We start from the raw sequence: 22,384 nt of genomic DNA, 5'->3' as shown, positions 1-22,384 counted from the left end.
AAAACATTGATTAGAACAGTGAGAAAGAAAAGAACTCTGAGAAATAAGTTTAAGAAAAAATGTGGAATTCAATAAGTAATTGGAGTGGAGGAGCACAGAAAATAGAAGCATTAAAAAAATAATGTCGGTTGGGCATGGTGACTAACATCTGTAAACCCAGCATTTTGGGAGGCTGAGGCAGGAGGATCACTTGAGCCCAGGAGTTCGAGGCTGCAGTGAGCTATGATTACGCCACTGTACTCAGGCCCGGGTGACAGAGGGAGACCCTGTCTCAAAAAAAACAAAAACAAAATTTCAATGTTTTAAACTCTTGAGCCAAAGAGAACATAGTTACCATTGGAAAAAATACATAATGGGAGAAAATCTGGTACACAATCATCATGGCAGCGGCCGGGGCCCCGGATGGCATGGAGGAACCTGGCATGGACACCGAAGCTAAGACCGTGGCGACCGAGGCGCTGGCACGGCCCCTCAACTGCTTGGAGGCCGAAGCCACGGCAGGAGCGGGGGCAGGGACGGTGGCCGAGGACTCCGGCACCGCGCGAGGCAGCCTGCAGCCTGCAGCCGGCCCCAGCCCAGGCCCCTGGAGACCCCGTGTCCCAGGCTTCTGTCAGCAACGGCGAAGACTCGGGCGGCAGCGCAGACAGCGAGCTGGTGGACCTGAGGATCATCTGGAACAAGACCAAGCACGACGTGAAGTTCCCCCTGGACAGCACAGGCTCCGAACTGAAACAGAAGATCCACTGATTACAGGTCTCCCGCCTGCCATACAGAAAGTCATGTATAAGGGACTCGTCCCTGAGGATAAGACATTGAGAGAAATAAAAGTGACCAGTGGGGCCAAGATCATGGTGGTTGGCTCCACCATCAATGATGTTTTAGCAGTAAACACACCCAAAGATGCTGCGCAGCAGGATGCAAAGGCCAAAGACAACAAGAAGGAGCCTCTCTGCAGGCAGAAACAACACAGGAAAGCGTTGGATAAAGGAAAACCCGAAGATGTGATGCCATCTGTTAAGGGGGCCCAGGAGCACCTACAAAAGGTACCCCTGCCCAGCATGTACAATAAGTCCGGAGGAAAAGTGAGATTCACCTTGAAGTTAGAACAACACCGACTGTGGATTGGCAGTAAAGAGCGGACTGAGAAATTGCCCATGGGATCCATAAAAAATGTGGTCAGTGAACATATGGAAGGACATGAAGACTACCACATGATGGGTTTCAGTTGGGCCCCACGAAAGCCTCTTACTACTGACTAATGGGTGTACTGGGTTCCAACTCAATATGTGGATGCAATCAAAGACTGTGCTGGGGAAATGGCAGTATTTTTGAAAGCACTTTCACCTCTGGCCCAGGAGGCTGACCCAAAGTGAAGGACATCGCGGGGAGAGGCCTGCAGCATCCCTGGATTTCAGAGTTCTAGAACTTTGTTCACAAAAAATCTATACTCAATCTAAGGCGAGGTGGTGACTGAAGCCAGAGGTGATGTACTTTCACGATTCGCTTAATTTTAACTTAAAATGACCAGTTCCCTTTCTTGCAGTCAGCTTCATGCCATTTTTAAAGTCAATATGATGGAAATCAATAAATCTGAATTCCAAAAAAGAAAAATACATAATGGGAGAAAATCTAACTGGAGGGAAAATGAGAGGAAGGATGAAGTGATACTGGGTTTGAAGAGACAACTAGAAATCCATGTAAAATATGTAGCATCTGGTTGAAGAGATAAAGGACTGGAGTTTAATTAAATGATTAGGACAGCAAGTATATGTTTGAAAAATTATCTGAATAAAAGTAATAAAGTGGTAAAAAACTGATAAACCTTTGTTTAAAAAAAATTTGTCATGAGGGCAAACCAAGGTTCAGACTTCAGCAGCATCCATAGTTAAGGTATGCAAGAGGGGAGAAGAGCTAATGAGGGAAAGATGTCCTTCGAGGTCAGAGGAAATCAGGGTAGTGCCCTGCCATGAACGAGCTGTGTCCTGTGCTCTGAGAGATCAAGAAGAGAGAGCAGGCCATTATATAGACTACTTTTTTTTGAGACGGAGTCTCCCTCTGTCACCCAGGCTAGAGTGCAGTGGCGCAATCTTGACTCACTGCAACCTCCGCCTTCAGGGTTCAAGCGATACTCCTGCCTCAGCCTCCTCGCCTCGTAATCCCTGTAGTTGGGATTACAGGTGCCCACCATCATGCTCGGCTAATTTTAGTAGGTATTTTTTAGTAGAGATGGGATTTCACCATGTTGGCCAGGCTGGTCTCGAACTCCTGACCTCAAGTGATTTGCCTGCCTCTGCCTTCCAAAGTGCTGGGATTACAGGTGTGAGCCACTGTGCCTGGCCCTACATAGACTACTTTTAGTGAACTGATGTTGTACAGCCATTTGAGGAAGGCCTCAACCTTTCATGTAAAAATAAAGAATGAGGCAAGGTCATTTGCTGACAGTGAATGGAAGAAGATGGAGTTGAATGCTGTCTTGGTGGTGAACCCGACAGAAAAGATGTGGAACACTGAATTTGAACAGATTTTGTATAGAATTATGAGTAAGGATGAGGAATAATATAAGAAATAATGAATTACCCCATAACAAGTAATAGTAGGTAACTGGTACCATCCCTAAGCCCGAAGAAGCAAGAGGAGGAAGCAGTCACTGGGACCCAGGGAAAGCTTTGAAGCTTCAAGACGGGATCTATGGCCTTTAGATAAAGGGATATAGCCAATTTGTAGAAAGCTGACAGGGAGGGAGCTACAGGAATAAATAATGTGACCTCACTCTCTTCTCATCCTCAGGATTTCAGCTAAAGCCAATAGCTGAACCCATCTGGAAGCTAGAGGGCAAGGGAGCCAGGTTGTAGCAATCTGTATGATGACATACCTAGGGCACAGAGCAGAGTAGACAGGGATGGGGAATTAATCCAGCACAAATTCTTAAGAAAGAGTAGAAAAGGTTTGGCAATGCCACTGTGAGAAAAGGGCGGGGAGCCAAGAGATGAAAAAGAATGCTGAGCTTTATTAGGTCTGGTTGGTACTAGTCAGTACTTTAAAAATAAAGATACTCTTGTTGGGCCTGTTGGCTCACACCTGTAATCCCAGCACATTGGGGAGGCCAAGGCAAGAGGCTTGCTTGAACCCAGGAGTTTGAGACCAGCCTTGGCAACATACTGAGACCTATAGAAAATTTAAAAATTAAATTTTGGCCAGGCGCAGTGGCTTATGCCTGTAATCCCAGCACTTTGGGAGGCCAAGGCGGGTGGATCACGAGGTCAGGAGATCGAGACCATCCTGGCTAACATGTTGAAACCCCATCTCTACTAAAAATACAAAAAAAAAAAAATAGCCGGGCATGGTGGTGGGCACCTGTAGTCCCAGCTACTCGGGAGGCTGAGGCAGGAGAATCACATGAACCTGGGAGGTGGAGCTTGCACTGAGCGGAGATCACGCCACTGCACTCCAGCCTGGGCAACAGAGTGAGATTCTGTCTCAAAAAAAAAAAAAAATTAAATTTTACAAAATTAAGTTTTTAAAAATTACAAAAAATTTTAAAAACAATGTTTTTCAATTTAAATTTGAGAAAGTTACAAAAAAATTAAAAATTAGCTGGGCATAGTAGTACATGCCTGTAGTCCCAGCTACATGGGAGACAGGTGGGAGGATCACTTGAGCCTGGGAGGTCGAGGCTTCTGTGGAGCTGCACTCCGGCATGTAACAGAGTGAGCCTATCTCAAAATAAATAAATAAATAAATAAATAAAAATAAAGGGACTTATTCTATTTTTTTTTTTTTTCCGTGATGGAGTCTTGCTCTGTCGCCCAGGCTGGAGTGCAATGGTATGATCTTGGGTCACTGCAAGCTCCACCTCCTGGGTTCAAGCAATTCTCCTGCCTGAAACTCTCAAGTAGCTGGGATTACAGGTGCCCACCACCACGCCCAGCTAATTTTTGTATTTTTAGTAGAGACGGGGTTTCACCATGTTGATCAGGCTAGTCTCAAACTCCTGACCTGGTGATCCGCCTGCCTCGGCCTCCCAAAGTGCTGGGACTACAGGTGTGAGCCACCGTGCCTGCCCTAAAGGTATTTATTTCTATCTGATTACAAGAATGATATATGGTTACTATAGAAAATTCCAGAAGTATTATAACCAAAGAAGAAAATGTATTTGCTTTTTAAAAGAAGCTTTATTTAAATTAATACAGGAACAAAAAACCAAATACTGCATGTTCTCACTTAGAAGTGGAAGCTAAACATTGAGCACACATATGGACTTAAATGTGGAACCAATAGGCATTGTGAACTACCAGAGGGTGGAGGAAGCAGGAGTGGGTTTAAAACTACCTATTGGAGGCCAGGGGCGGTGGCTCACCCTTGTAACCCCAGCACTTTGGGAGTCTGAGGTGGGTGGATTGCTTGAGCCTAGAAGTTCGAGACCAACCTGGCCAACATGGTGAAATCCCATCTCTACTAAAAATAAAAAAAATTAGCCAGGCATGGTGGCACACGCCTGTAAACCCAGCTATTTGGGAGGCTGAGGCACAAGAATCACTTGAACCTGGGAAGCAGAGGTTGCAGTGAGCCGAGATTGCGCGACTGCCCTCCAGCCTGGGTAATAGAACAAGATTCCATCTCAAAAAGAAGAAAAAAAAAATTTTTTAAAAACTACCTATTGGATACTATGCTCACTACCAGGGTGACTGGAGTCACACTCCAAACCTCAGCATCATGCAATGTTTCCATGTGACAAATCTGCACGTGGACCCCCTGTATCAAAATAAAAGTTGAAATAAAAAAACAGAAAATGTCATCTTTATTGAGATACAATTCACATATAATTCACCCATTTAAAGTGTATATCCAGTGGTTTTTAGTATGTCACTGAGTTGGATGACCATCACCACAATCCATTTTAGAGCATTTTCATCACCCAAGAAAGAAACTCCATAACTATTAGCAGTTATTTTCAATTTCTCTCCTTCCCAACCCTTGGTCCAGACAATCACTTATCTACTATTTATTGCTATATATATTTGACTATTCTGTCTCTGTTTATTCTGTTTATTTGCATATTCTAGACTTTTTTTTTCTTTTTTGAGACAGGCTCTTGCTCTGTTGACCAGGCTGGAATGCATTGGTGCAATCTCCACTCACTACAACCTCCACCTCCCAGGTTCAAGTGATCCTCCCACCTCAGCCTCCTGAGTAACTGGGACTACAGGCATGCACCACCATGCCTGGCTAATTTTTGTATTTTTTGTAGAGATGGGGTTTTGCCATGTTGGCCAGGCTGGTCTCAAACTCCTGGACTCAAGCAATCAGCATGCCTTCCAAAGTGCTGGGATTACAGATGTGAGCCACCACGCCTGGTCTCAACTTTCTAACTGTAATTATACAACATCTCCCCATCCCCTCCCTCCTCCTAACCGCTCAAGCCTCTGGTAACCATTAGGTTTTTTAGATTCCACATATGAGTGAGATTATGCAGTATTTATTCTTCTGTGCCTGACTTATTTCACTTAACATGCTTTCCAGGCTCATCCATGCTGTCACAAATGACAGGACTTTGCTCTTCTGCATGACTAAATAATATTCCATTGTGTACATATACCACATTTTCTTTATCCATTCATCCATTGATGGACAACTAGGTTGATTCTATGTCTTGGCTATTGTGGATAATGCTGAAATAAACATGGGGATGCAGATGTCTCTTCTATATAATGATTTCCTTTCCTTTGAGTAGATTCCCAATAGCGAGGTTGCTGGATCATAGCATAGTTCTACTTGTACTTTTTCGAAGAACCTCCATACTGTATTCCATAGCGGTTGTCCTGGTTTACATTCTCACCAACAGTGCATAAGTGTTCTTTTCTGTATATTCTGGCCAACATTTTTTAAATTCAGGGGTACATGATACATGTGCAGACGTGCAGTTTTTTTACATGGGTATATTGCATGATGCTGAGGTTTGGATGCCTAATGATCCTGTCACCCAAGTAGTGAACATAATACCTTCTCCCCTTCCCTTCCTCCCCACTTTTGGAATCCCCAGTGTTTACTGTTCCCATCTTTGTGTCTGTGTGTACTCAGTGTTTAGCTCCCATTTATAAGTGAGAACATGCAGTATTTGGTTTTCTGTTCCTGCATTAATTCACTTAGGATAATGGCCTCCAGCTGCATCCATGCTGCTGCAAAGGACATGATTTCATTCTTTTGTATGGTTTTGCCAACACTTATCTTTTGTCTTTTTGATAATAGTCATGCTAACAAGTGTCAGGTGATATCCCATTGTGGTTTTGATTTGCATTTCCCTGATGATTATTGATGCTGAGCATTTTTCATATACCTATTGGCAACTTGTATGTCTTCTATGTCTTTTGCCCATTTTTAATAGGGTTACTTGCTTTTTTTTTCACTATTGAATTGTTTGAGTTCCTTGTATATATATTTTGGATATTAATCCCTTATCAGAGATAGAGTTTGCAAATATTTTCATCCATTCTGTAAGTTGTCTCTTCACTCTGTTGTTTCATTTGCTGTACAGAAGCTTTTTGTTCCATGTAATTCTAACCATCTATTTTTGCTCTTGTTGCCTTTGCTTTTGTGGTAATATCCAAAACACTCTTGCACAGACCAAAGTCATGGAGTTTCCTCTAATGTTTTCTTCTAGTAGTTTCATTGTTTCCGATCTTACGTTTAAGTTATTAATACATTTTGAGTTGATTTTTGTATATGATAGGAGATAAGGGTCTAATTTCATCTTTCTGCGTGTGGATATCCAGTTTTCCCGACAGAATTTTTTTAAGAGACTCTCCTTTCCATTGTGTGCTCTTGGTGCCTTTGTCGAAAATCAGTTGGCCATAAATGCATGGATTTACTTCTGGGGTCTCTATTTTGTTTCATTGTTCTATATGTCTGTTTTTATGCTGTTTTGGTTACTATAATTTTGCAGCTTATTTTGAAATCATGAAGTCTGATGCCTTCAGCTTTACTCTTTTTGCTCAAGATTGCTTTGGCTATTTGGTGCCTTTTGTGGTTCTATACAATTTTAGGATTGTATTTTCTATTTCTGTGAAGAATGTCATTGGCATTTTGATAGGGATTGCATTGAATCTATAGTTCATTTTGGGTAGTATGGACATTTTAACAATCTTAATTTTTGCAATCTATGAACACAGGGTATCGTTCCATTTATTTGTGTCTTCTTCAATTTCTTTCATCAGTGCTGTATAGTTTTTAGTGTAAGGATCTTTCACCTTCTTGGTTAAATTTATTCCTAAGTATTTCAATTTTTGTAGCTATTGTGTATGGGATTGTTTTCTTAACTTGTTTTTCAGACAGTTTGCTATTGGTATATAGAAATGCTACCAACTTTTCTATGATGATTTTGTATACTGTAATTTTACTGAATTTGTTTATTAGATCTAACAGTTTTTTTTTTTGGTGGAGTCTTTAGGGTTTTTTCAGTATAAAATCATTTCATCTTCAAAGAGGAATAATTTAACTTCTCCAACAAAGAAATTCAAATCACCAATAACACCAATCTTCAGTGATAATCACTTCTAATATTTTTTAAAATATACTTCCAGCCTTTTTTATAAGCACAAATAATTTTTTGAAACAAAATGGATTATGTTGCACATATTTGAATTATTTAAGATCCTTTGAATACAAGCAACTTCAATCAGATTGACTTTTAGGTATTAATTAAATAATTAATTCAATACTTATTGAGTACCTACAATATACAAATAATTTCATAGCATGAAAAAAGAAAAAAAAAAAAAACAGACAAACTGGCCAGGCTCAGTGGATCATGCTTGTAATCCCAGCACTTTGGGAGGCTGACGTGGGAGATCACTTGAGCTCAGGAGTTTGAGACCAGCCTGGGCAACATGGTGAAACCCTGTCTCTATTAAAAATTCAGAAAGAAAAAAAAAATGCTTCTGTTTTCAAGATATCGGGATATCAGGACACTCCCAAGTCTGGGTCTGTTTAGTAAACATTATCAATCTGTTCCCTTAACTGTAAACATCGAGAGGCTAGGAATACCTAACTTGCTGGGTACGCAGCCCAGCAAGTCCCAGCCTCATTTTCATAGTCCTTACTCCAGATGGAGTCGCTCTGGTTCGAACACTTGACAGTGGTGTGCACCTGTAGTCCCATCTACTCAAGAGGTCGAGGTGGGAGGACAGGCTGAGCCTAGGAGGTTGAGGCTGCAGTGAGCTGTGAACCACTTCACTCCACCCTGGGTGACAGAGCAAGATCTTGCCTCAAAAAAAAAAGAAAAGAAAAGAAAAAAGAAAAAAAAAGAAAGGCAAAAAAGGATCTCACATTTCTCACATTTGGAAATTTTTGTTTGATAGCCTAGAATTTAACTTTACAACACTATGGTAAAATGCAACCACATAAATGAACACAACCCTACAGTGTAGCATAGGTTTATTATGGTTTAAATAGACCATCTGTATGTGCTCAAGTTTGCAACTAAAATTAATAAGGTCGTGTTACAGCTTTAAAATCCATGCAGGAACGTTTTCAGGAAGCAAAGGGCTATGGTTTTGTCTAATGAGGCAGGCCTACAGCAGGGCTGCATTCACTTGGCACGATATGCTTTCTGTGTCCCGAGGATTCTCTTGGGACATATTGACTTACCTGGAGCAGGTAAACAAACTCACTGGAGAATGCAGCCTACACCCCAGACATGATTTTGCCTTTACACACAACCGCAGGACTGAGAAGCTGGGCTTGGCATAGGGCCAGGCAGACCGCTGACAGAAGGTTAAGAAGGAGAACTCTGCAAATGGGCCACAGAGCCTCAGGACTGGATCTACTCAGTAGCTTCCTAACATTCTGGCAGAGAGTGACATTCTTTATAAAGCAAGAAAGAAATTTTCCCTCATTTGGAGCTAGAAAGTTTTATGCCTAAAATAAATATGATTCATGTCCCAGGAAAGCTTGGTTCTGAAGAACTCTGTGTCCTTGGCTGACTTACACCTCCCTCACGCCTTAAAATCTGATTTCCGATTCCCAACCTGAGGTGCAAACTCTACCCTTTATTTTCAAGGTCCAGGAAGACCTGGACCCTCAGAAGGTCACTCAAGAGGAACCATTCTTTGGGACAGAATTATGCAGCTTATGTCCCAAGAGTTTGTTTGAGCTCCAGTTGTCAGAAAAGTGTGATAATTCTATGGTTTTCCCCCTTTTACTCTACCACTGGAAGTCCCCTAAATTTACTTAGCAGTATTTCCCTGAAGCTATAAAGCCAAGCTATTTTTTTCCCCTTAACTCAGGAATGTTTTAATATGTAAATATGAATTCCACAGAGATTTTGCTTGACTACTATAGTTTAAGCTGTCAAATTAGTTCAGTGATTTAATTCAGTAAACTCCATTATTTCTTTTTCTATTGCAAATTAATATGCAGGTCATCTCTTCAGATACGTGTGTTTTAGGCCGGGCACGGTGGCTCCCATCTATAATCCCAGCACTTTGAGAGGCCAAGGTAGGTGGACCACCTGAGGTCAGGAGTTCAAGACGAGCCTGGCCAACATGGTGAAGCCCCGTTTCTACTAAAAAATACAAAAATTAGCCGGGGGTGGTGGCAGGCACCTGTAATCCCAGCTACTTGGGAGGCTGAAGCAGGAGAATCTCTTGAACCTGGGAGGCAGAGATTTCAGTGAGCTGAGATCATGCCACTGCACTACAGCCTGGGCGACAGAGAAAGACTGTCGCAAAAAAGAAAGAAAAAAAAAGAGATATGTGTGTTTTAAACTTTATGCATAGTAGCAATCAATTATGTGATAAAACCATTAAATTGCTCAAAGAAAAAAGCATTCTTAACTCATAAGATTAACAAAGTTTCTTTAAACAAGGCCAGTTTTTTTAAAAATAGATCTGTCAAAATCTGTTTGAATAAAAAAATTTAAAAACACTAAAAATAAACAACAGGATATTCAATTCACAGCAACCAATTAGAAGGGGCCCAGTTTACCTGAGCCAGCATAAGGAAGTCCCCTTTGTTTTAACCCTGTAAGGAAACTAGCTCTGTAACAACCAATTCTCTTTTTGTTCCTTGTTTCTGCTTTCTTTTCTTTTTTTGAGACGGAGTCTCGCTCTTGTTGCCCAGGCTGGAGTGCAATGGCACAATCTCAGCTCACTGCAGCCTCCGCCTCCCGCGTTCAAGCGATTCTCCTGCCTCAGTCTCCCAAGTAGCTGGGATTACAGGTATGTACCACCACACCCGGCTAATTCTGTATTTTTAATAGAGACTGGGTTTCTCCATGTTGGTCAGGCTAGTCTTGAACTCCTGACCTCAGGAGACCCGCCCGCCTCGGCCTCCCAAAGCGCTGGGATTACAGGCATAAGCCACCGCGCCCTGCCTGTTTCTGCTTTCTTTAGCCTTCTTCTACCTATAAAGCCTACTTCCTGTGCTCGGCTAATCAGAGCACCTTTCTAATTTTAGAAGGGATGGGGCTCCATTCACTAATCACTAAATAAAAGCTAATTTGATTAAAATGAATTTGTCAAAAAAATTTTGACATATATATATATATATATATATATATATATATATATGCATGATACAAGTATCATAAGCACTTTGTAAAACAGATACACTATATGTCATAGAATATAGTAATTGCGGTGCCGCGTGGTGGCTCACACCTATAATCCCAGCACCTTGGGAGACCGAGGTGGGTGGATCACCCGAGGTCAGGAGTTTGAGACCAGCCTGGCCAACACGACGAAACCCTGTCTCTACTAAAAATACAAAAATTAGCTGGGCATGGTGGTGGGTACCTGTAATCCCATCTACTCGGGAAGCTGAGGCAGGAGAATTGCTTGAACCCGGGAGGTGGAGGTTGCAGTAAGCCAAGATTGCGCCATTGCACTCCAGCCTGGGCAACAAGAGTGAAACTCTGTCTCAAAAAAAAAAAAAAAAAAATATATATATATATATATAGCGGGGGGCGGGGGGTGGGGGGAGGAGGGGAGAGAGAGAGAGAAATTGCAGTATTTGGAGTAATTTTCTCACCAGTAATCTCATTAACCTTTTTACTTAAGTTGCATTTAGTATTCATTTGTTTATTTCTTAAGGAAAAATGACATCTACAGAGCATTTTTTTCTTCCAAGTAATGAAAATATCCTGTGAAATATTAGGACATTCATAACTATCTTTTGAGGTTTCTGATTTTCTGTTTAGTGGCTTATTCTTTCTAGTTATAAAATGGCTAAGTAAAAATATAACTTTATGACAAATTCCACTATTTACGTAAACACTTATAAACTCTGTATACACAATTCATATTTCTTCTTTCATACAGTGATAATTGTATATACATATACACCAAGCAAATATACCCTCAAAAAAGAGAAGAGATATTGTTAAAGTCTTATTCGCTGCAGTGATTACTTAGTTTATCTCAAAATGTGGTATTCAGCCTTCCTGGGGTTGTGTGCTAAAATGCAGATTCCAGGACTTCATAAATTCTGTTTCAATAGGTCTGGGGTGGACCCAGGAATCTGTATTTTAATAACATTGCCATGTTATTTTTATGCCCAATGAAATTAAAAAGCCATGTATTTAAAAGATATTTGTTGTGTTTTTTCTCATGAATCAATTTCATACCTAATTTTGTCTCCATAATTTAAAATTATTTTTTCTTTAAAAAATCTCCCAAGCTGTATAAGCTTTAAGCACCACAAAAACCTCAATCTACTCCTGCTGCAGGTGAGTTTGTAATTCATATTTTTATATTTCTAAATGATATCCACAGATCATGTAATTTAAAGAAACATGGTGGAAACCTTGGAAAATTTCAAAAGGAGATGTGAAGAGGCTACACCTAAAATAATGAGGTCTAAATGGAGCATATCTCCAGAAACTGATACCAGTGCAGCAGGGTCTACAGCCACCAATTCTCAAGCATGAGTGCATGGATGAGGTGACAAGTTATATGGTCATGGGAACAGCTGACCTGTAGTGCCCTTTGGAGAACCACTCCTAGTACAAATTAAGGTATTTGATTAGATGGTATTTTGTAACTTACCAGAAGTGTAACTCTCATACTATTGCAGGACTGACTTCACTCATCCCAAATTTGGTCTGAGGTTAAAAATACGAAAAAGAGATTGGGTATGGTGGCTCACGCCTGTGATCCCAGCACTTTGGGAGGCTGAGGCAGGTGGATCACTTGAGTCAGGAGTTTAAGACCAGCCCGGGCAACATGACGAAACTGGCTCTACTAAAAATACAAAAATTAGCCAGGCGTGGTGGTGCACACCTGTAGTCCCAGCTACTTGGGAGAATTGCTTGAACCTGGGAGGTGAAGGTTGAAGTAAGCCAAGATCATGCCACTGCACTCCAGCCTGGGCCACAGAGCAAGACTGTGTCAAAAAGAAAAAAAAAAAAGAGAGAGGGCCAGGCACGGTGGCTCACACCTATAATCTCAGCACTTTGGGAGGCCAAGGAGGGTGAATTGCTTGAGTCCAGGAGTTCAAGACCAGCCTGGGCAACATGGTGAAACCCTGTCTACTAAAACCAAAAAAAGTAGCCAGGTGTGGTGGCATGCACCTGTAGTCCCAGCTATTCAGGAGTCTGAGGCAGGAGAATCGCTTGAAACCAGGAGATGGAGATTGCAGTGAGCTGAGATTGCACGACTGCACATCAGCCTGGGCCACAGAGCAAGACTGTCTCAAAAAAAAAAAAAAAAAAGAAAGAAAGAAAAAATATTACATATGTACTAGATACATCAACCATCTTCTTCCCACCCACAACTCATTCTAAGAGAACCTGTCCTCTACCCGCAGTCACAGTGGTCATACTTGTCTCAGGTGACCCAAGATCCTGGTCACAACTGATTGGACCAGGGGTAGACACCTGATTCAGGGTGAGCCAATTCAATGTCCTCCTTTGAGAAACTGTACCAAAATAAAAAGATGGAGGCTGTTCCTATTGTGCAGAGAAGTTCTGATGTGTGGGTACATTGGGACAAACATGACACCACGGCAAATCAAAGCCTTGGGTCAGAGTTATGGGAGAGCAAACCTTGAGAACCTTGCAAAGATCAGAGAGAATGAGATACATGACAGTTTTCACAAAAAGCATTAAAAAAAAGAATGAGGTAGAGAAGGAACAAATGGACATATCTAGGGAAGCAGAGATGAGAGATAATCTGATCCCAAAAAGGGTAGCTCTTGGATAACTACTTCCTATGCAATAGGATTCTATATTCTGAAATTAGATTATCAGATATGCCCCTGAATTGCTTCAATAAATACCCTTCCTGCCTACACCCATAGAGCTGTGTTGAGGAAGTTTTGGTTCTTATCAACAGAGATCTCCATTAAGACAATGGTGTACTTATCAGCCACAGGTTTCAGAGTAGTTAAGGAAGGAAGCACACATCCTGTGGAATATGCTCAAGACTACAAGGCTTCCTGTGGAATGCAAGCAGCATGCTGAAGCTCAGACTGGCGGCATTAAAGGAACAAGCTGCTGAGATGGTGGATAAGGCATGCAGCTAGGGTGATGAGGTTCCTAAACAAGAAGACTCCCCGTGTACAAAGAGTAAAGTGAAGGGCACTCAAAAGTATTGAGATTTTAGCTGCCTAAGAAAGGGATACATTCAGCTTCCTAGTCTTACTAGGATTAGTTATATCTTTAATGTATTATAGCGTAAATGTACATTCAAGATAAAGTGATCAAAAAGTCAAAATCTGGCTATTTGTGACAGTCAATGCACAGGTTACATTTTTGGCAGGGACAAATGGCATAGGGATCACAGCATAAAGAGAGATCAGATCAAAAATCTTATTTTTCTTACTACCTCCATCCCCCTGCTCTGAATACTAGTGGGAACTTCCAGAGAACTAGGATGCAAGAACTGAATAGCCAAAGCACCAACTGCTAGTTACTGCCTTTTAAAAATTATTATTATTATTTTTGAGACAGGGTCTCACTCTGTCACTCAGGCTGGAGTGCAGTGGGCGCAATCTCAGCTCACTGCAGCCTCAACCTCCTGGGCTCTAGCAATCCTCCCACCTCAGCCTCCCCAGTAGCTTGCCTGGACTACAGACACGTGCCACCACACTCGGCTAATTTTTGTATTTTCTGCGGAGATGGGGTTTCGCCATGTTGTGCAGGCTGGTCTCTAAATCCTGGGCTCAAGTGATCCGCCTGCCTTGGCCTCCGAAAGTGCTAATATTACTGGCATGAGCTACCATGCCCAGCCTCTAAAAAATTATTTTTAAGGGACCTAGATGACTTTACAGCATGTGGGCCTGGTGCAATGGCTCACACCTGTAGTCCCAGCACTTTGGGAGGCTGAGGTGGGCAGACCACTGAAGGCCAGAAGTTCAAGACCAGCCTGGTCAATATGGTGAAACCTTGTCCCTACCAAAAATACGAAAATTAGCCAGGCGTGGTGGCACACGCCTGTAATCCTAGCCACTCAGGAAGCTGAGGCAGGAGATTCGCTTGAACCCGGGAGACGGAGGTTGCAGTGAGCCGAGATCATGCCATTGCATTCCAGCCTGGGTGATAGAGTGAGACTCTGCCTCCAAAGAAAAAACAAAAAATTATAGTATGTGGTAGACAGAGTTTGCTAATTATCTTCTCAATACCTTTATCTCTTTCTATACTAAGGTTGGAGCCAAATATAGCTAAAGGTTGCATAAAAAAATGGAATGTGGCTGGGTGCAGTGGTTCACGCCTGTAGTTCTAGCACTTTGGGAGGCTGAAGTGGGTGGATTGCTTGACCCCAGGAATTTGAGACCAGCCTGGGCAACATGGTGAAACCCCATCTCTACAAAAATACAAAAAATTAGCTGGGTGTGGTGGTGCATGCCTGTAGTCCCAGCAACTCAGGAGGCTGAGGTGGGAGGATCACTTAAGCCTGGACGGTGGAAGTTGCAGTGAGCCAAGATCAAGCACTGCACCCCAGCCTGGGTAACAGAGTAAGACCCTGTCCCCCAATCCCGCCCCAACAAAAGAAAGAAAAAAAAATGGAATGTAAGCAGAAGTAATATATGCAATTTCTGGGCCAGGTGCTTCATTCACTCTTTTCCCTTTAAGTGTGTTGGAATGAGGATGTGGTGTTTGAGCCATTTTCAGACACAAAAATGAAGCCAACTTCCTAAGCATGGGAAAGCAACAAGGGGGAAGGAGCTAAATTCTCTATGTTATAGAGCTATTTGGGAATCTTTGTATTTTTGAGTTTCTTGTTCCAACAACATAGCCAGTACCCTAATTAACACCTCATGCCTCCAGGCCAGTATAATGCAGACCTTTCAGATGATTCTCTCCACACACATTGGAACCTGACATAAGTAAGAGAAGAGCACAGAAGATGTTTAGAGAGATAATATGTATATCACTGCACAGTAAACCTAGATCAAGGGCAATAAACAGAGTCCTGGGAGGTGAGATAGATCCACTAGATCTGAATAGGATCTCAGAATAAAGACAAGAGCTAACAATGCTTAGGAAAAGTCACAGGACATGGTGGCTCACAGCTGCAATCCCAGCACTTTGGGAGGCCAAGGCCAGAGGATTGCTTGAGGCCAGGAGTTTGAAATCAGCCTAGATAACATAGTGAGATCCATCTCTACAAATATTAAAAAAAAAAAAAATTAGCCAGGCATGATGGTACACACCTGTAGTCCCAGCTACTTGGGAGGCTGTGGCAGGAGGATCACTTGAGCCCGGGAGGTCTAGGCTTCCGTGAGCTAAGATCACAGCACTGCCTTCCACCCTGGGCAACAGAGTGAGACCTTGTCTCAAAAACAAAACAAAATAAAAACCGAAGTGGGAACCTGCCATAAGGTGAGGTACAATTATAAGCAGGGTAAATGTAAGGGGAAATTGATAAATGCAGAAAATAATTGACAAGACAGAGTATCTTGGTGATGATAGTGTTTTGAATTTTCCCTTGAGGAAGAAATCACTTGGGGATCTCCAAAAACATTAAACATAATAAAACCAAAAGGCTAAGATCCTTGTTTGTCTTAGTCAGTTTGGGCTGCTGTTAACAAAATTACAACATAATGGGTAGCTTATGCAACATTTATTTCTTACAGTTTTGAAGACTGAGAAGTTCAAGATCAAAGCACCAGCAGATATCTGGTGAGGGTCTTTTCTTGGCTTGTAGACAGGTGCCTTTTGCCATATGTTCACATGGCTGAGAGATCATCTCTCTCACATCTTTTCTTGTAAGAGCACTAACCCCATTCACAAGGACTCTATCCTCTTGACCTAAGTACCTCCTAAAATTCCCACCTCCAAATACCATCACACTGGGGATTAGGCTTCAACATATGAATTTTGGGGGACACACACATCCAGTCAATAGCAGAGCTATCAGAAAAACAGTAGGAGGCATTTGACTCTACTATGTCAGAATAATTTCACATCAAAATACTGGAAAATGGTAAACTTGGCTATGAGGTTTGGGCATTTACTTCCTTCGCATCTGGTGTAGTTAAATCCTGAAGAGTATTAAGGCACAAACCTAACCCAACATTGGAATAGATAAAAAATGTCCTCTGAATTAAGTCCTATATGACTTCATGGGTAATTTCAATCCAGACATATGCAGAAATTTTCAATTATTTTTTTTTTGAGATGGAGTCTCACTCTGTCTCCCAGGCTGGAGTGCAAGTAGCACAATCTCAACTCACTGCAACCTCTGCCTCCTGGGTTCAAGGGATTCTTCTGCCTCAGCCTCCCGAGTAGCTGGGACTACAGGTGCACACCACCACGCCCGGCTAATTTTTGTATTTTTGGTAGAGACGGGGTTTCACCATGTTGGCCAGGCTGGTCTTGAACTCCTGATCTCAGGTGATTCACCCACCTTGGCCTCCCAAAGTGCTGAGATTACAGTCATGAGCCACCCTGCCTGGCAAGAAATTTTTCATTCTGTTACACAAAATATTTTTATAGCTGTCCCCAATTTTACCTTAAAATTGTGACCACTGCACAATAGGAATGCTGTGTTTGTAACATTATCTCCTGGTTTTGTGGTCAGCTTGCTACTTTAATTCAGTCCAAGGCCCTATATTGAGTTGGTGCTCAATAAATATTTGGATACTTGTTTATTGAATAAGATGGGGTCACACAACTCCAGCTTTTACTAGTAAATGGGGCTTGCAAAATCAACTGATACTAGCATCAGTCTGAACCACATACTGTATTATGTTGTGTTTAATTGCAGAAAAATTTATTGCAGTCTAGATCTTAAAAAAGGTACTTAAAATTCACTTTGAAAAATATCTAATGTCTGGAAGAAAAAGAAATGGGGACTCTACTCAAAAGGCCTAATGTCATCAAGTTATTGGCAAATACAACACAGAATGATGTTGCACTGGTGAGGATGCTTCATCCTGGGATATAATTCCTCCCTGCTGCTTCTCTGTGGGGCCTACCCAGAAAAGAAGCTTGAGAAAAAGGCAATTGAATGTTTGTAAGAAGCAGATAATTAAAACCCAGTTAATGCTGAAGAAACAAGTTGGTGGATCTAACTAAATAAAAAACTGTTTCTGACAGGAAAAAGCAAACTTAGACAACCAAGTAATAAAGACTAATTTCAAATATTGTCTTCAGGCACAATGCTTTTCCCTTATCTCTTTCCTAACTAACCGTATTAAATGAAGACTCTTCATTATTTATTTAATAGAATTTTATATTTATACTTCTTTGTTGACAGAAAGTAAATTTCTCTCTTAAAAAGTAAAAGTTACATGTAACAAAGGGCCTTTGCTGCAGTCTAGAAAGTAGAGCAAATTGGAGTAGGATGAGAGAGAGGAAAGGGAAAGAAAGTGAGAAAGAGGAGAATGCCTTGGAACCCACAGTAGTGAGTAGTGTGTTTGTAACATTATCTCCTGGTTTCTTGATCAGCTTGGTTTCTCTGGGATGACCTGAAGTGGGCAGGGAACTCACCCTGAATAGTTTTGAGTTAAAGTGTCCAGCTCCTTTCAGGGGTTGTTGAAGTCATGTCACATCAAATGTTACCTGACCCAGTACCACGGAAGTTGACGGGAGCATAAGAGCTAAGAACTGCAAGAAAATGTGTCCACATAAAATTTAACACTGAGCTCTCCATAAAAATGTAAAGCAAGGTGACCCTCTTTAGAAACCCATTAAAGGATTGTAACACCAGCAGAGACAGGATCCCACTTCATTCCACTCCCCCATTACCTAGAACAACAGAGACACTGACCTGAAAGGACTCAATCGAGCATCAGCAATGGGGGAGTGTGATGATTGGTAAGTATATACTATGAGGCAGCGGCCCCCTAGTGGCATGCCAAGGTCAGCACATATCTGAAGAGTGTCAGCAAGACAGCTGTGCCAAAGTGACCAGGCACGGAACAAAGAGATAGAGTTCTCTTAATGGCTGTCAAAAAGATCAAGTTGACTCTTTTGGGACCTGCCAAGAGAAAGAGGAATCTTGAGTGCTGGGAAGATTGGAGAACTGGGGTGCCAGTATTTACACAGGTGGGGGCTCAGAGCCAGAAACTCCTATTGTCGTACTACTACTCTGAAGCTGCTGTGGAATATGAGGATATACTGTGTATTGATTACTGTAAACTTTACTGAATTGTTTAATGTAAATTGGTTGACTCAATACAAAAAAAAGCCCCTCTACTCAAAAAAATCTTTTGAAAAGATTTCCTAATGTTAGCCTTTAACTCCTAACATTAGGGATAATTTTAACATTATGATAAAGTATCCTGGCCTTATCGGTTTAGAAAATTACATTTTATCTTGGCTCTTTTGTTTAAAATGTATATCAAACTTATAAAATCAGTATATACTATTTGACATTCTCATTATTATAAATGCAATTTTAATTCGGTGACTAACGAGAACTTGGTGAATAACTACCTGGGTTTTTGAACAATTTTAAGAGACAAAATAGTAATATATTTAAAGGCAAAGGCAAGTAACAATATACTATACATAAATATAAAAGCAATACTATTACTAACATAGTCTTTCTTTTTTCATATGGACAAGATCCAGTTCTTATAACCTTAACTGTAACTTTCTACAGTAAGGAATATGATGTGTGTATTATAATGCACGTGGGAGTAGCTGTCAAATGAAATCTGGTCTATGTTCTACTCAGCAATTCTCTGGGTGAAAAAAAACTGACTTGGCATTCATATCAGCCTTTTAATATTTATTGCCTATTTATATGTATATTGTAAATTCTTTTTTTTGGCGGGGGTGGGGTATGGAGTCTCGCTCTATCACCCAGGCTGGATTGCAGTGGCACAATCTCAGCTCACTACAATCTCCACCTCCTGTCTCAGCCTCCCAAGTAGCTGGGATTACAGGTGCACACCACCACACCCAACTATTTTTTGTATCTTTAGTAGAGACAAAGTTTTGCCATGTTGGCCTCGAACTCCTGACCTCAAGTGATCCACCCACCTTGGCCTCCCAAAGTGTTGTGATTATAGGCATGAGCCACCACACCTGGCCTGTATATTGTAAATTCCTGATAGTGGTCAAGAGGCCAAGTTTCAGTGAACCTACAAAAATTGACCGGGAGCCCTCTCTAAGAGGCATGATGGAGAATATTTGATATTTGGGGAGGAGGGAAAGATCTCATAGAATATTGAAGTTTCTGCCCCATAAAGATTGGTTCCTCTCACCATATTTCTCCACCATTATGTTTTTGTCTTTACCTTACCTTATCCTCAAGTGTTCAGAAGACACTTCAGATTCTGGAATAGAACAGGCTGAGGGTGGCGGCTCATGCCTATAATCATCTCAGCACTTTGGGAGGCTGAGGCAGGCAGATCACTTGAGGCTAGGAGTTTGAGACCAGCCTGCGCAACATGGGCAAAACCCCATCTCTACTAAAAATACAAAAAAAAAGCTCACATCTGTAGTCCCAGCTGCTCGGGAGGCTAAGGCATGAGAATCACTCGAACCCAGGAGGCAGAGGTTGCAGTGAGTGGAGATCACACCATTGCACTCCAGCCTGGGGAACTGAGCAAAACTCTGTCTTAAAAACAAAAACAAAAAGATTCTGGAATAGAAATTATCTCATACTTTAGAGTAGTGGATTTGGGAATATGATTAATTTTTTTCTTCAAAATGCAAGTGGTCATTAGTATAAGCAAGATTTAAGTCAAAATTAGCTGATCATTTTCTACATGGGTTAATCCAAAGAGTTATTTAGTGTGGTTAGATCTTTGAGTCTTATTTCCTGCTGTCATACAGTTCAAATGAGTAACCTATTAATAATAGCTTCCGGAACACAATTAAAAGGAGAAGAAAATTCCTTTGGAATGTGTTACTTAGAGAATTCACAGAATGCCCACACCTGGCAATCTTTCAAGGTAAAATAGGAGAAACTATTTTTCCAAGATGGTTTAATTTTATTAAAAACAAAAAGATGAATAAACTTTCAAAATCTTCTCTTGGAAAGCTCCCCAAGTGACTGAAAAGACCCCCTCTTGGCCAAGAGGACCACAGAGAAACCTTAAAACTACATTCCCAGGGCCATGATGCAATGGGAGATCCCACTCCTTATACCCTCTCCCTTGCTAACCACCATCAGGCTTCCTTCCCTACAGGCAAAACAGAAACCAGCCCTTTCAAAACAATGGCTACACTGCTGATTTTAACTAACCATCTGATGCTCACCCTCCCTTTTGCGGTTTCCACAAAACAACTGACCAGAATATGGATATAACCATAAAACTAGCTCCCAATCCTTTCACTCTGTTTTACACTCTATTATGAGGTCTCGGCCCCCATTTACTCTGCAAGTCTGGTTCTGCTTTTTCTTCTAGCTTATCAGAACTTTTGCTCTACTGGTTTTCTAGATTCTGCTTCCTGTTCTCTCCTAATAGGGTGTATGCATAGATTTATAATCCAGATCACTTTTGAGTGGCCTCATAACATTCTCCAGCCCACTCCCAATTACGTGTTTTCTCCTGCTGTTTCAAGTGGTCCAAAACAACAGTCTGGGACCAATGTGACTTTAAATTCTGAGGCACCAAGAAAAATATTAAGGTTTCCTGTTCTATGTTAGCTACAGAGAGAAATCTCTCCAGCATCAAGGTTGAAATAGCTTTTCTTTTATGCACTGCCTGCAAAGAAATGAAGCTTGAACAATATTTATACCTTTTGAATCTCCTAGTCCAGATGGTCTACAAACTGGGTCCTTTAGTTCTCACCTACATTTCTGTCATCTTTACTAAATTCACATTGCACTTTGGTAGAAGGGATATCTAAAAGTAAGCCTTGAAATAAGGCCTCAAAGAGAAAGAAAAAGTTAAAGTTAAGAAAGACTAAATAGGAGAGAATATACAATAAAGAAAAAAAGTATACATATATATGCATATATATTTTTGAGATGGAGTCTTGCTCTGTCGCCCAGGCTGGAGTGCAGTGGCACGATCTCGGCTCACTATGTCCTCCACCTCTGGGGTTCAAGCGATTCTCCTACCTCAGCTTCCCAAGTAGCTGGGACCTCAGGCGCCCACCATCACGCCCAGCTAATTTTGAATTTTTAGTAGAGATGGGGTTTCGCCATGTTGGCCAGCTGACCTCAGGTGATCCACCTGCCTTGGCCTCCCAAAGTGCTGGGATTACAGGCGTGAGCCACCACACCTGGCCAAAGAAAAATATTTTTGAAATCTAAGTCATTATATTGAAATACATGAAATGGCTGGGTGAGGTGGCTCATATCTGTAATCCCAATATTTTGGGGGGCCAAAGCAGGAGGATCATTTCAGGCCAAGAGTTCAAGACCAGCCTGGGCAGCATAGCGAGACCCCATCTCTACAAAAATTAGCATGTTCCTGTAGTCCCAGCTACTTGGGAAGCTGAGGTGGAAGGATCACTTGAGACCAGGAGGTCAAGATTGCAGTGAGCCAAGATTGTGCCACTGCACTCCAGCCTGGGCGACAGAGAGCAACCCTGTCTCTCCACCCCAAAAAAAGAAAAAAGAGATATGTAAAATGTATAAAAAATGATTAATTACTAAAAATATGTGGACCAAAAGGAAAAGTATTGAAAGGAAAAAACATCCAATTTGTCATGTGTCAAAATAAGGTTGAAAATCAAGCATGATAGGCAAATATTCCAACACACGTTCCCTAAAGAAATTAAACTATTCTATAGGACACCCACCCCACCTCATTCCTGCTGCCAGTATCAGATGATGAAGGTCAAATCTCTTAGAGAGCCACTGGTTAATTTTCATAAATCCAACAAAATGGCATTCAAGGACCTTTGCAGTCTGAACTGTAAATTGTCATTGTTGTATAAGGTAGTAAGACAGTTAATTTCATGTGTGAACTTGTCTGAGCCACAGTGCTCAGATACTTGGTAAAACATCATTCTGGAGTTTCTGAGTAGATGTTTTTA

At 41.4% G+C, this 22,384-nt stretch overlaps 1 pseudogene; it reads left to right on the top strand.

Annotated features, from left to right (window-relative positions):
* LOC339966 (ubiquitin family domain containing 1 pseudogene) lies at positions 368-1,529 on the top strand (annotated as a pseudogene).
* Positions 1,530-22,384: the final 20,855 nt, after the last annotated feature.

This window comes from Homo sapiens, chromosome 4 (assembly GCF_000001405.40).
Source record: "Homo sapiens chromosome 4, GRCh38.p14 Primary Assembly".
Lineage (NCBI taxonomy): Eukaryota > Metazoa > Chordata > Mammalia > Primates > Hominidae > Homo > Homo sapiens.
The sequence above is the reverse complement of the archived record's forward strand: the minus strand, read 5'-3'. Positions and strand labels throughout refer to the sequence as shown.